The sequence below is a fragment of the Homo sapiens genome, chromosome 6, assembly GCF_000001405.40.
Source record: "Homo sapiens chromosome 6, GRCh38.p14 Primary Assembly".
Lineage (NCBI taxonomy): Eukaryota > Metazoa > Chordata > Mammalia > Primates > Hominidae > Homo > Homo sapiens.
Window position 1 is genome coordinate 131,926,005 of NC_000006.12, and position 14,713 is coordinate 131,940,717.

Genomic DNA, 14,713 nt, shown 5'->3' on the forward strand with positions numbered 1-14,713 from the left:
GCATAAGCCTGAATGACAGAATAGCCCACAAAAGCTATTGACAGATGATTGTCTCTTATTGTTACTACAACTAGGGCAGATGTAATATGAAAAGTTTAGCTCTTAAATACTCCTTTCATCCAAGTCTGTACTTAGATTCTTGGAAACACATCTCATTGCATGGTCCAGGGCTCCCCTACCTGCTACCTCTCTGCTCTGCCCTCAGTATTTTAGGAGGTGTTCTAATTAAGGAATGGAGGTCCAACACAAATAATTTGCTCAGCAGTAAGTTCATGCTGGCAAATAAGGATCTCTCATTCATTTTAGTCTTTGCAAGGTTGTAGATGATTATCTATTGCTATGGCAAGATGTTCTTGACATATTGAGAAGTGGAAAAAATGGTTATCAAATAGTTTGTACAGTATTTAACCATTAAAATTATATTTATTGAACAATTTAAATGGATATACACACCAACATGTAATAGTGTAGTACTGTTCAATAGGAATGCATGAGTCAGGCTGGGCGTGGTGGCTCATGCCTGTAATCCCAGCACTTGGGGAGGCCAAGACAGGCAGATCACCTGAGGTCAAGAGTTCAAGACCAGCCTGGCCAACATGGTGAAACTCCATCTCTACTAAAAACACAAAATAAATTAGCTGGGTGTGGTGGCAGGCACCTGTAATCCCAGCTACTCAGGAGGCTGAGGCAGGAGAATGGCTTGAACCCGGGAGGTGGAGGTTGTGGTGAGCCGATATCACACCGTTGTACTCCAGTCTGGGCAGCAAGAACAAAACTCTGTCTTAAAAAAAAAAAAAAAAAAGAAGAAATACATGAGTCATATATATAATTGAAAATTTTTCAGGAGTCCCATTTAAAAAAATAAAAAGAAACAGGTAAAATTAGTTTCAATGATACATTAATATATTCTTAAATATATTACTTTATACATTTATATAGTTATATATTTTACATAAAATATACAAATATTTAGTATATTTATATTTAAATATATTAAATTAATCTATTAATATATTTAGTACTATATTAATAATATGTTAATGCCACATAGTAAAAGTGATATATTTTATTTAAGCCCGATACAATGTTGTTATTTCAATGTATAATCATTATAAAATTGATATATTTTACACTTTTTTATACTTAGTCTTTGAAAGCACATCTCAACTTGGACACTAAATTTCCATTGAAAATATCTGATTTGTGTAGAGATTTTATAAAATTTATGACTGAAAACAGAGTCATATACTTGAATTATTCTAGTCATACATTAAACTTTTTCAATAACTGAACAGAATATTGCTTTTTAAAGTTAAATAAATTCAAATTAAATAAAGTTTAAAAGTTAGTTCCTTAGTTGCACTAGACACATTTCAAACGCTCAGTAGCAATGTGTGGCTAGTGGCGACGGCTCTGCATAGTGCAGTGGTAAAGGATTTCCGTAGCACCTCAAATTGCATTTTCACGTATAGACCTAGAGGATGGCTTTTCCGGTTCCTGCCAGCTTGTCCTGCTGTGTCTGGAATTGGTGGGTTCTTGGTCTCACTGACTTCAAGAAGGAAGCCGCGGACCCTCGCGGTGAGTGTTACAATTCTTAAATATGGTGTGTCCAGAGTTTGTTCCTTCTGATGTTCGGACGTCTTAGGAGTTTCTTCCTTGTGGTGGGTTCGTGGTCTTGCTGGCTTCAGGAGTGAAGCTGCAGACCTTCGCGGTGAGTGTTACAGCTCTTTTTTTTTTTTTTTTTTTTTTGAGACTCTGTCTCGCTCTGTCACCCAGGCTGGAGTGCAGTGGCGCGATCTCGGCTCACCGCAAGCTCCGCCTCCTGAGCTGAGGCCGTTCTCCTGCCTCAGCCTCCCTAGTAGCTGGGATTACAGGTGACCGCCACCATGCCTGGCTAATTTTTTTGTATTTTTAGTAGAGACGGGGTGTTAGCCAGGATGGTCTCTATCTCCTGACCTGGTGATCCGCCCGCCTTGGCCTCCCAAAGTGCTGGGATTACAGGCGTGAGCCACCGCACCTGGCTGTGTTACAGCTCTCAAGGCGGAGCATCTGGAGTTGTTCGTTCCTCCCCTCTGGAGTTGTTCATTCCTCCCGGTGGGTTCGTGGTCTCGCTGGCCTCAGGAGTGAAGCTCCTATAACACTATGTCAGCTGTATTAATTGTAAAATTTAGGATGCATACTAATTTCATTACATTCGAAAATAATTTTGGAAGTTGGGATTTCTTACTTTGAAAGAATTCTGAAGTATACATGGTGATGATAGCTAACAAATCATAGCGAATCATAAGTCAAATGCCACTTGGAGGCAAATAATTTCAAAAGCAAAATTATAAACATCCTTTCAAAAAAATTACAGTCCTGAATTATATTTAATGTGGGATAGGGTTTTGTTTTGATTTTTTAATATGCTGTAGAGAGGAACTTCCATAGTAAGAATTCTCAGAGCTTATTAAGGCCGTAAAATGACACTGAAAACCCCTTTCCACCCAGACGATACCTGGCCTTTCCATTTCCCAGACAGGACAATTGCACATTGTAGCTAGCATGGTGTGTCAAAAAGAGTCAGCGGAACATATGAATTTCTAGCAGTAAGAATTTTGGCAGTGCCGGGTGCGGTGGCTCACTCCTGTAATCCTAGCAATTTGGGAGGCCAAGGCTGACAAATCACTTGAGGTCTGGAGTTTGAGACCAGCCTGGCCAACATGGTGAAACCCTGTCTCTACTAAAAATACAAAAACTAGCCGGGCGTGGTGCATGCCTGTAATCCCAGGTACTCAGGATGCTGAGGCAGGAGAATCGCTTGAGCCTGGGAGGCAGAGGTTGCAGTGAGCCGAGATGGTGCCATTGCACTCCAGCGCCTGGGGACAAGAGCAAAATTCCATCTAAAAAAAAGAGAAGAATTTTGGCAGCTTCATTAGCCTTTCCATTCTTTCATTTATTTGAATATGCAGATATTCCTGGGAGGATTACAGATGATGCTACCTAGTGGGTTGGTCATATAGTCTGGAAAAAAGAGAACATGGGTTAGGTCTTTGTACACGGTGGAAGAATAGGCTGTTCAATTCTACATAAGAGTAGAATTGAACATAGGATCAAATACTTATCCTTATAAAATTTGGTGTGGCCAGGAGCAGTGGCTCACCCTTGTAATCCAGCAATCTGGGAGGCCAAGGCAGGAAGATTACTTGAGCCCAGGTGTTTGAGATCAGCCTGGGCAGCATAGCAAAACACTGTGTCAATTTAAAATTTAAAAAGATGAAATTTGGTATAGTCTCTTGGGGGAAGGATACACTTAAGGTGGTTGTACAAATTTGATCTTGTGGTAGATTGCATTGCTGTTCCAAGGATTCATTCTCGGCCCAGTGAGATAATCATGCATTTTCACCCCTTGCCATGTTCCTTGTAGAGCACCCCCCTTTGGCAGCATACACTTCCTGCACCAGGTCAGGTTGGCCGTGTAACTTGCTTCAGCCATTGGAAGTGTATAATGCCACAGCCAAGCAGCAGCTTGAAGGGGAGTTGTGTGATTTGGCTCTGCCTCTTACTTTCTTCCCTCTGCCTCAAGAATGATGATATGTCCCCAGTAGGGGCTACTCTTTTAGCTTGGTTCCTGGAATGAGAAGGTGCAAAGAGCAAAGCCACAGCAACAGAAGTACAACTGCCAACATGTAATTGTGCAAAAAAATAAACATTTGTTGTTACAAGCCACTGTGATTTGGGGGCTGTTTGTTTCTACAGGAACACTGATTAATAGAGTTGTTCAGGAGGAAAGCTCCCTAGTAATTCTTCTGTTGATTCAATTTGAAAAATGGGGCTTTTTGCATTAATCCGTTAAAAAAAACAAAAACCAAAACCAGTATGTTCCACTCTCCTAGAATAGTGTTGTGCATACCTTACAGTAACTAGCACTTTAACAGAATTAGAGAGTTAACATAAAGTTAATCCTTGTACGATGTCACAAGTTTCCATGTCAGAATGCTGGGAGTGAAGTTATAGAGGTATTTGAGTGTCCAATAATGTTACTTATTAGTCCCTAATGACACCTCCTGGGATTTACTGAGGTAGGCAATTTGCATTTTTCAATTACAAGTGTGAAATATTCTTGTTGCCAATTTTGCTAGTGTTAGGAATTCTTTGCAAGGTACTTTCTGCACTTGATGGAAAATCAGCATTAAATAAATCAATTCAGTTCCCAACGGCTTCATTTAACACACTGCTTATTTCCATATGGTGTGAATCTGTTCTTTCTTCTCTGAGCTTAAATGAAGTAACTTGACTCAGAAGAACATAACCTTTTATTAGTTATAGAAAAGTAGAAACTGCTTAGATTTTGTTGTTGCTGTTGTTGTTTCTGGTTTGATTGACTGATTGATTGATTGATTGAATGCTACTTTTAAGTGTTCTTAGCGCAACCGTCTGACCAGGCAATGAACCTTTAAACAGAGAGAGTGTCTTTCTTTGGAAGCTCGGGATTATTGCACTATTCTGAACATTTCCATATTATCCCATGTGGAGGAGGCATAAAGTAATTTCAATAAACAACCAGAACAGGCCAGACGTAGTGGCTCACGCCTGTGATCACAGCACTTTGGGATGCCAAGGTGGGCTGATCATTTGACCTCAGGAGTTCAAGATCAGCCTGGCCAACATGGTGAAACCCCGTCTCTACTAAAAATACAAAAATTATTTGGGCGTGGTGGCGGGCGCCTGTAATCCTAGCTGCTGGGGAGGCTGAGGCATGAGAATTGCTTGAACCCGGGAGGCAGAAGTTGCAGTGAGCCGAGATCATGCCACTGTACTCCAGCCTGAGCAACAGAGCTAGACTCTGTCTCAAAAAAAAAAAAAAAAAAATGTGATAATAAACAACCAGAACAGTGCTTTCAAATCTCACTTTTGGTGTTGGGAATGTTCTATATTTGTGCTGTCTAGTATGGAAGCCACTAGCCACATGTCACTACTGAGTGCTTGAATTATTGCTACTGTGACAGAGAAGGATAAAGAAGCTGAAGACACATCACCAGGATTTAGTACTTTCTGTATCTCTGTATAACTCTTCTTTCTCCTTTGTGTTACCTTCAGCCTCAGATAAGCTGTTCCAAGGTGGCTATTGGCACTTCCAGAGCTAGATTTTTCTGGACTCAGAACCAGCACAAAAAGTTACAATCTTTGTCACAGAAGTCCCAATAAAACTCTTGAGCTTTCATGGTTTAGACAAGCAGAGGCTAACAGTTACCTCTGAACCTATCACTCATGACAGTGGGAGTCAATGTGCAGACTGATTTAGCCCAGGCAAGCCTGAGAGGCTATGAGTGGGGTCAGCTTTACCCAAAGTACATGGGCTGAAACTTGGGGGAATAATCCACCAGAGCAAAGATCAGCAATTTTTTTTCTTGAAAAGGGCCCCATAGTAAATATTTTTAGCCTTTGTGGGCTATACAGTCTGTCACTCAATTCTGCCACTGTAGCTCAAAAGCAGCCATGGATACTACATTTTTTTAAAAAAGGGCATGACCGTGTACCAAGAAAACTTTGTTTACAAAATCAGAGAGCAGGCCAGATTCAGATGACAGGCCAGAGTTTGCCAACCCCTGCACTAGAGCGAGATTAAGTACAGTTATCAGACTGGAAGTCAGGCTATAAAAATAAGCAACAGATGTCCACCACATGCATAGAATAATATAGATATCCCTGCTTCTCTGGGTCTTTAGCTTTTCTCTCTCTTTGTAATAAGAGTCATAACAGATGACTTTAGGAGGCTCTTTTTCTTCCAAAGTTCTCCTGACCTCAAATTAAAATGGTCTACTGAGAGTCCAGGTGGTGGCTTTTGCAAATGCTTGGGATCCAGGAGGAAAGGTGACAGCCTTCATGGTAGCAAGCCTATAGACAGTAGCAGCCCCAGAATCAAATAATTTGCTTCTAGATATAACACTTTCACATGCTAAAATATAAAACCTCTCTCCTCAGAAAAACTAATCTACTTCTTCCCTAGTCTTTCCAATGCCAGATAACAGCACCACAGTTTGTCCATTCATTTAGGCAAAAAGCTGGGGTGATATACTCATTTTCCTGTTAATATCCCTCAGCCAACCTATCAGCAAGTCCCATGTGCAGAATATGCACTGAATCTGACCACTCCATCTACGTCCACCAACACAGCTCCCACCCGTGTCACCATGCGCCTCTCCTGGACTTCTCCAGTAGCCTCCCCAGTCTCCCTCCTCCCTCTTGCTCCTCTACTGTCCTTTCTCAATTCAGCAGCCAGAATGATCTTTCTAACATCTAAATCCTCCCGTGACCTCTCATTATGCTATTTATTTATTTATTGAGATGGAGTCTTCCTCTGTCACCCAGACTGGAGTGCAGTGGCATGATTTCGGCTCACTGCAACCTCTGCCTCCCAGGTTCAAGCGGTTCTTCTACCTCAGCCTCCCTAGTAGCTGGGACTACAGGCATGCATCTCCACACCTGGCTAATTTTTGTATTTTTAGTAGAGAGGGGGTTTTACCATGTCAGCCAGGCTGGTCTCAAACTCCTGAGCTCAGGTGATCTGCCCTCCTTGGCCTCCCAAAGTGCTGGGATTACAGGCGTGAGCCACCACGCACAGCTTCCTTATGTTTAAAACTAAACCTCAGCAGAGTTTACAAGGTCCCTATGACCTAGACTTCCTCAACCCTCCCAGCCTCATCTCTGAACACTGTCTCCTTTTTAACTGGAGCTGAAAGGAGGAGGAATAAAGTAACTTCAATAAACAACCAGAACAGTGCTTTCAAATGTCACTTTTGGTGATGATGGAAATGTTCTATATCTGTGCTGTCTAGTATGGAAGCCACTAGCCGCATGTCACTACTGAGTGTTTGAAATATTGCTACTGTGACAGAGAGGCTGACTTTTACACTGTACTTAATTTTAATTCATTTAAGTGTAATAGCCACATTTGTCTATCAGCTACTATGGACAGCAAAAAACTAGAATATGGGCAAAACTGATATAAATGATAAAATAAAGTTATGAACAGTATTTGTTAGGGCATCTGAAAGGAAAGAGGGCTGCTAGGAGGTTATGGGATTCAGGGTAGTATTAAAAAATCATTCAAAAAGTGACTTCTGGGAAGGGCTTTAAATGATGAGTGAAGTTGACTTAGATATAAATATATATGTGCTTATATATATACATATACACACATGCATTATGAGAAGATCAAGGGAAGAATTTTTCAGGCAGAGAGACTAGATTAAGTGAAGTTACATGTGGAAACTATTTAGGAAATATGAGTAAGTCCAGCTTGGTTTTTGCATAAAAGGTATGTCCAAGAGTAATTTGAGATTCTTGTCGTTCCTTCGAGGCTATTTTGCAGAAAATCTTCGATACCATACAGAAAAGTCGGTATTTATCTTGATAATAGTTAAGAAGCCATTTAATTTTTTTTTTGAGCAACAAACTTATGGGACCAGAGATATTAATCAGGCATCAGTAATTAAGAAGGAGAATGAGGGTGGAACAGGAAAACTAATGAGCCGACTCATACACACATTGCCGTCAAAAATAGTGAGGGCTGTAATGAGAATTATGGAGATGGAAAGTTGGAGGTGATTTAGATTTTCTGAGTTTGGAGTTATGTGAATATGTGAATAGAGATTGGCAATTGCTTCTTGTCTAGACATTTCTGAAGATAGGATGGCCTGCAGTGGTAACTTCCACCATCAGGGCAAGAAGGGACCTCATGCCTGGGAATAAGATGGGGAAAGCCCAACTCAGTCTCACTTTCAGGAAGCTCTCTGAGAAAAAAGGAAAGAAGACTTCGGTATCCACTGCTAACTGAAGCATATGAGGGGTTAGAAGAAGGGCAGGAGTGATAGGACTAGCCAGTGATCAGCCCCCCTTAGGAAACCACACTTGGCTGTCTGGATAGATTGTGGGGCTAAAGAGAGGCATGACTGTCCCTGTGGGAAGGGTTTCCCAATTATTGAAGAGGCAGGAAGAAAGTTGATCACCAACCCAAGGAAACTAGGCCCAACATTTTCACAGTCCCATTGGTAGGAGCCGTTAGCAGCAGCCGCATCAGCCCAAGTGAAACCAGGGATGCCTTCCTTCCCAGCTACATGTGACCGGATATGTAAGAGAAACCTGCTTCTGCATCCCTCCAGGAGCTCCCTTCAACCCTTAGGAACTAGATGTACAAGAGGAAGGAGGTGGGATATGAGATGAGGGTGTGTTCCTCCAGAGATGATTTGCATTTCCTCCCACCAGTTGCTTTGTTGGTACTACAGCCTGAGACTACTTGACTACTTTTTAACTAATAAACGCTATATTTTAGAGCAGTTATGTACGTTTATGTATATCTCTGTGTGTATACATATAAATATATATATATATATGCATGCTTATGTATAAGTGAAATGAATGACAACAATGATACAAGGGACAGGAGGGAGGAATTTGGATTACTTGTTATTGCAAAGTACTTGTACTATCTATGAAGCTGTACAGTGTTATATGAAAGTGAACCTGGCTGGGCCAGGTGCAGTGGCTCAAGCCTGTAATCCCAGCACTTTGGGAGGCTGAAGTGGGTGCATCACAAGGTCAGGAGCTCGAGACCAGCCTGGCCAATATGGTGAAACCCTGTCTCTACTAAAAATACAAAAATGAGCAGGGTGTGGTGGCAGGTGCCTGTAGTCCCAGCTACTCAGGAGGCTGAGGCAGGAGAATTGCTTGAACGCGGGAGGCAGAGGTTGCAGTGAGCCGAGAATGCACCACTGCACTCCAGCCTGGGTGACAGAGCGAGATTCTGTCTCAAGAAAAAAAAAAAAAAGAAAGAAAGTGAACTTGGGTTTGTTGTAAATGTGTATTGCAAATTCTAGAGCAACCGTTAAAAAAGTTTTTAAAAAAGTAGAATTGATATGCTAAGAAAGGAGAGAAAATGGAATCATGTAAAATGCTCAGTTAATGCCACAAAAGACAAAAGCCCTGTGGAACACAAGAAGAAACAAAGAACAAGAGCAACACATAGAAAACAGTAACAAATATGGTAGATGTTAAGCCAACTATATCAATAATCACTGTAGATGTCAGTGGTCTAAATATGCCAATTAAAAGACAGAGCTTGTCAGAGTATATTAAAAACACACCAGCCGTGGTGGTGCACTTGTGTAACCCCAGCTACCTGGGATACTGTGTGCGGAGGATATAAAGCCTAGGAGTTCATGACCAGCCTGTACAACATAGGGAGAACCTGTCTCAAAGAAAAACAAACAAACAAAAAATCAAGACCCAACTAATTATTGTCTGTAAGAAACCCATGTTAAACAGATTAGACTCTGACAAAACACGCATAGGTTAAACTCTAGTAAAATACTTTCTCCCGAGGGTAGGCCCTGCTAAGAAGAGTACCCAGATGTATTTCAAAATGGTTACTTTCCTCCTCCCACTGCTGGAAGAGCAAGGAAATTTTTCTCCAATATTTTGGGAGATAAAACTCCCCAAAACATGTGTGGGTGGAGGGACAGGGGGCCCATGACTGTATCTGGGACCACTTTTTATATAAACAAATCTCTAAATTGAAGTTCAAATATTTGAGTGTTGGTGAAAAAGAAATGGAGTTATTCTGATACTTGTGACTCATTACTATTATATATATTTTTTGCTTAAATTGTCTCAGGTTTAATTATTGCGAGCTCCTTCAAGTTGTCTTTTCAGTATGAACCTAACATTTTTTTCAGCAATTTCTTACTTGCTGGTGCCACAAGTTTTTGCAGGTTTATCTTGCATTTTCTCTGCCTGAGCCATGAAATCAGCCATTTTTCCAAAAAGCCCTAGTTCCTTTTATTGGACATTATTAAAATTTGGGTTCTACATATGTTAATTGTTCTGGGGTGTCACAGCACCTAGGATGATGACAGCTCAGTTGACAGAAAATACACATACAGCTAAGTGCATATATAAACCCATTCTATATTTATGTCTGTGTATATCTATACATGCATTAAAACCATGAGCTGTGCTATGCCCAAGCCCTCACAATTACTCATTACTTACCCATTGACTTGGCTTGATCAAATGCTAGTCAGGCTTCTCCCTACAGGTCCCAGAACTTTATCTTATTCCCAAGCTTTTAAGCAAGTGCTAAGTTACAGAATATCTTCTCAATGACTTACTCCAAGAATCCAGTGACCAAAGAGAATAAAAATTTACTGTCAAAGCCACTCTCATGCCATCTGCCTACCTCCATTCGCTTGCCCCACTCTTTCACAAACTTCCTGCTAGCCCTATTTACTTCTCCTTATAAAAGAAAGGTCTTTTTCTGTTCGACCTTTAGACTTTGCCACTTCTGCAATAGAGTATTCTCCCTATTTCAAAGTTCTCTTCCCCATATTGCAATGCAGTTGGTCCTTGAAAAACACAGGGGTTAGGGGTGCTGACCCCTTGTGCAGTTAAAAATTCACGTAAAATTTTTGACTCACCATAAACTTAACTACTACTAGCCGACTGTTGACTGGAAGCTTTACCAATAACACAAACAATAGATTAACACATATTTGTGTGTTATATATATTTGACACTGAATTCTTATAGTAAAGTAAGAGAAAATAAAATGAAAAAATGCCATTAAGAACATTATATGGAAGAGAAAATATATTTATTACTTATTAAATGGGAATAGATCATCAGAAAGGTCTTTATCCTCATTGTCTTCATGATGGGCAGGCTGAGGAGAAGAGAAAAGAGTAGGAGTTGGTCTTGCTGTCCCTTGGCGTAACTATTATTGAAAAAAATTCATGTATAAGTGGATTTGTGCAGTTCAAACCCATGTTCTTCAAGGGTCAACTGTGGCCTTTTTGAATAAAATCTCTATTTTAATCTGGCTTTTAAAAAATTTGACTACTGGTACTACTAATGGCAACCCAATACCACAGGTGTTTGAATTAATCAGTTAATTGCCTTTATTGAAAGAATGTCTATGGTCTTTTATAATTTATATTTTCCTCAAGATAGATTTGTACTGAAATAAAATCTAACTTTTATTAAAACTGAAAAAGGGAAATGGAGGATTCATTGACAATGGGGTGTTTCTATCTGGGTAACAAGTAGATTATTAGTACTACAGGCAATAGAAATGCAGAATCACACAGAGAAGCTGGTTTTGAGGGAAATTATGATGCTGTCTTAGTGTGGAGGGTAATAAGACCGATAGTCTTTTTCTTTTTCTCCAAAATCAAAGATGATTCACCTAAGCATGTTTCAACAGAACCAAAACAACACCCTCCACCCTAAAGATTCTTCAAGCAGATGATCCCCTGACCGAGCTCTTTTAGATACACCCAATGGTGCTTTCAAACATCTCCCAGTAGAGCCTCTTGGCTGTTGCTCCTGGCCATGGCAGGTTCCATTGGTTGCTCCTTCCAACAGTAATTAGCATGGGTTTCCATAGCAGCAGCTTCTAGCAGCCACTCCTATTGGCCTGGGTCCTTACCACAAGCAGCACCTCCCTGCAGATCTTCCTGCTGGTGAATGCTGCTCCAAGTGATTAATGACTTCCATTCCCCTAGAATCTCATTCAGTGAATCCTAAAATGTTCAACTTTAAAGGACCTCAATCCCAAACATCTTCTCTACAAAACGTCTGGATTTCTCCAATAGCTAGAGGGAGCATTTGATTTCTAGCAGCACCCCCAAGCCAGGTCTCAATAGGCTCCTTACGAAGCCCTGGGGTTCAGTTAGAATGCCACACTGTTTTTTCAAAGTCCTTTATTATCTCCATCGGCTACTATTCATACCTCCGGTAGAAGAGTCCCATTGACAGGTGTTCTGGACTTCAGGCTTGAAATATTGGTGAGTGTTTTCTCATCAAGGGGGTCCTCCATGTAATTCGGTTAGCTGAGCAACTTCTGCATATGGGTGGTCACTAAACTACCATGTTAGGGACAGTACAACAGAAAGACTAATAACACAGATAGAAAATTGACAGACTCAAACTAAAAAGGATGAAAGCCAACTAGAAATGTTATGAGTGAACTACGAGTATGTGTCATATCATCCAGGGTCCCATTCCTAGTTGTCTTTCCCACTTTCTTTTGCTGTTCACCAAGGCCAAACACAGGAATGTACATTCCCAGTGCTCAGGCAGAGCTCCTGTCCTCCCTATTAGTTGTCTTCCAAAGGTCACACTAGAAAGCACATAACTTCTTCCCCCAAATAGCAAAAGCAAGGGAAGCATGGCATTGGCTAATGCTCCACAAGCCTCCTTTCTCTAACCACATCCGGCTATTGATATTGAGGCATCTATGTAAACAGAGTCCTGGCAAATAGCCCAGACCTCCCAGGGCTCCTTAACATAAGTACGCAAGCTTGCCTAATAATCCTGAGTTTAAAATTATGAGTGACATAAGATAATCTTCACACTGGGAGTCATCGGCCCAAATTACGGTTAAAGGTTAAAAACAAACAAATAAAATGCAAAAAAAATCACATACAAACCAGGCTTATGTTGTAGAAAATATTTCCTAAGCCCTTGGATTTAATGTCATTTTTAGAGTTTGATGATACCTCCCTAGAGAGGGTATAACAAATACTGAACAAGGATGACACAGATCAGAAAGAATTTAGCTAGGGAGGAATTCAGATTGGGGAGAAAAATAAGGAGTTGGGCCTATTCTCATTTAAAAATAAATCCCTCTGGAAAGACATAAAAGAACATTTTTAAAAAGACTAAAAGAATGGCAGTTTATCTTTTCATTTTTAATGCTAAGTGTTTCTATTTTAAAGGGCTTCCATCCCAAGTATATACTTGGATTGAAAAATGGAAAACAGTTAAAAATGAAGATTTTTAAGTTCAAAATGTTGATCAAAATTTCCTGATTCAAATTGCTTTTTTGACTCTTGGATTACATATGGTTTGTGTTACATGTCTGTATTTTCTAAATTCCAACTTTTTCATGGAGCACAGGAGCAGTTATATTGGAACACTTTACATGTTTTTGTGTATTGTTTTTATAAAGATGATGATAGACTGCAGGTTATTTGACAATACAAGACAATGAATACAAAATGGTCCTCAATCAGTTAGATTCATGGGACTTATTATTATCATTCTCTTTATCTTTATTGTATCTTGGACCAAAAATGTAATTACTACAGTATTTATTTATAGCCCAGCTTTTGCAGGGAAGGGACCTACATGCCCTAAGTGACATTCATCAAACCTAGTTTCTTGTATGAAAGTGAGTCTACGCAGAGTAACTTAAAAAAAGAAGCTGAATTTGCTTTAAAATATTTATTCACATGTGAGTAAAAATGACTGAAAGTGTTATCTCTTCCCTTCTTTTGGCTTCTCCTGCCCTGTTCCAGTATATTTCATGAACTAGTGTCTCTAGTTTTTGGTTTTATTAGTTTTTGTATTTTTCTTTTAACTAGGTAAAGGCAGAGTAAATAAGAGCTATATTTGTTTTTCATAAAAGTGGTATTTTCTATTTATTTGCCTGTCAGTATCCTGCTGTAGTGCACACACACATGATGTAATGTGTTGATAACCCTTATTGCTGAAGTGGAACATACATAGTGAGATGTTATTTTCCTCATGGGATTCCAGAAACCTTAAAATCTTGTCATGCTCTATAGTTAAATGATGTTGATTGAGTCCCGTTTTATATATATATATATAGTTATATATATGTATATAAAAAATATATATAGTTATATATGTATATAAAATATATATATACATATATAACTATATATAGTTTTATATATATAGTTGTATATATATATAACTATATATATACATATATATAGTTTCAACAGTTTCTATTCATTAGTTTTATTTTGGAACTATGACTTAATGAATAAGCCTGCTGATATGTTAATGAAAATGTGAATGTTGAAAGACAGCAAGCCATCCTCTCAGATTTAAATAAAAATTGACATGAGTACACATTGGATGTTAAAAGGGAAATTCAGTGACTCCCTAAGACATTTGTACACTTTGAGGGAATTTCTTCTTATAGGTACTTCTATCTTTGAGTTTCTATCCTCATTAAATAGTCCTTCCAATCTCACATTTATATGGTGCTGTAGAAATTTAATTATGCAATGAAACGTGTTATGAACATTATGTGTTATTTTTCAGGAACTCATCTTAAATATTTAAAAATAAGTTTTTTTTTCTAATTGCAAGGAATAAGTACTCTTTGTAAATGATATGGAAAGTATGGAATATAATAAAGATGAAAAAGATAACTCCTAGATAATCACTTTTAATGTTTTGGCAAAATTCTTTTTAAAAAGTGCTAAAGAAAATGTGGCACATATACATCATGGAATACTATGCATCCATAAAAAAGAATGAGTTCATGTCCTTTGGAGGGACATAGATGAAGCTGAAAGCCATCATTCTTAGCAAACTAACCCAGGAACAGAAAACCAAACACCGCATATTCTCACTCATAAGTGGGAGTTGAACAATGAGAACACATGGACACAGGGAGGGGAACATCACACATGGGGGCCTGTTGGGGGGTGGGGGCCAAGGAAAGGGAAAACATTAGGACAAATACCTAATGTATGCAGAGTTAAAATCTAGATGACGGGTTGATAGGTGCAGCAAACCACCATGGCACGTGTATACCTATGTAACAAATCTGCACATTCTGCACATGTATCCCAGAACTTAAAGTAAAAAAAAAAAAAGTGCTTGAATATATTTAATTTTTAAACTTTTTAAT

General features: G+C 39.3%; 1 long non-coding RNA gene across 4 annotated transcripts in view, besides 1 other annotated feature; it reads left to right on the top strand.

Annotated features, from left to right (window-relative positions):
* CCN2-AS1 (CCN2 antisense RNA 1) overlaps positions 1-14,713 on the top strand; it is a 200,374-nt gene that overhangs the window by 24,053 nt on the left and 161,608 nt on the right. The window lies entirely within an intron of this gene.
* Positions 12,085-12,379: a silencer, noted in NCBI's record as "tiled region #2799; HepG2 Repressive DNase matched - State 5:Enh, and K562 Repressive non-DNase unmatched - State 24:Quies". NCBI's record gives its function as "represses a minimal TATA promoter and a strong SV40 promoter by Sharpr-MPRA in HepG2 and K562 cells {active_cell/tissue: HepG2 | K562}" and the evidence as "EXISTENCE:reporter gene assay evidence [ECO:0000049][PMID:27701403]".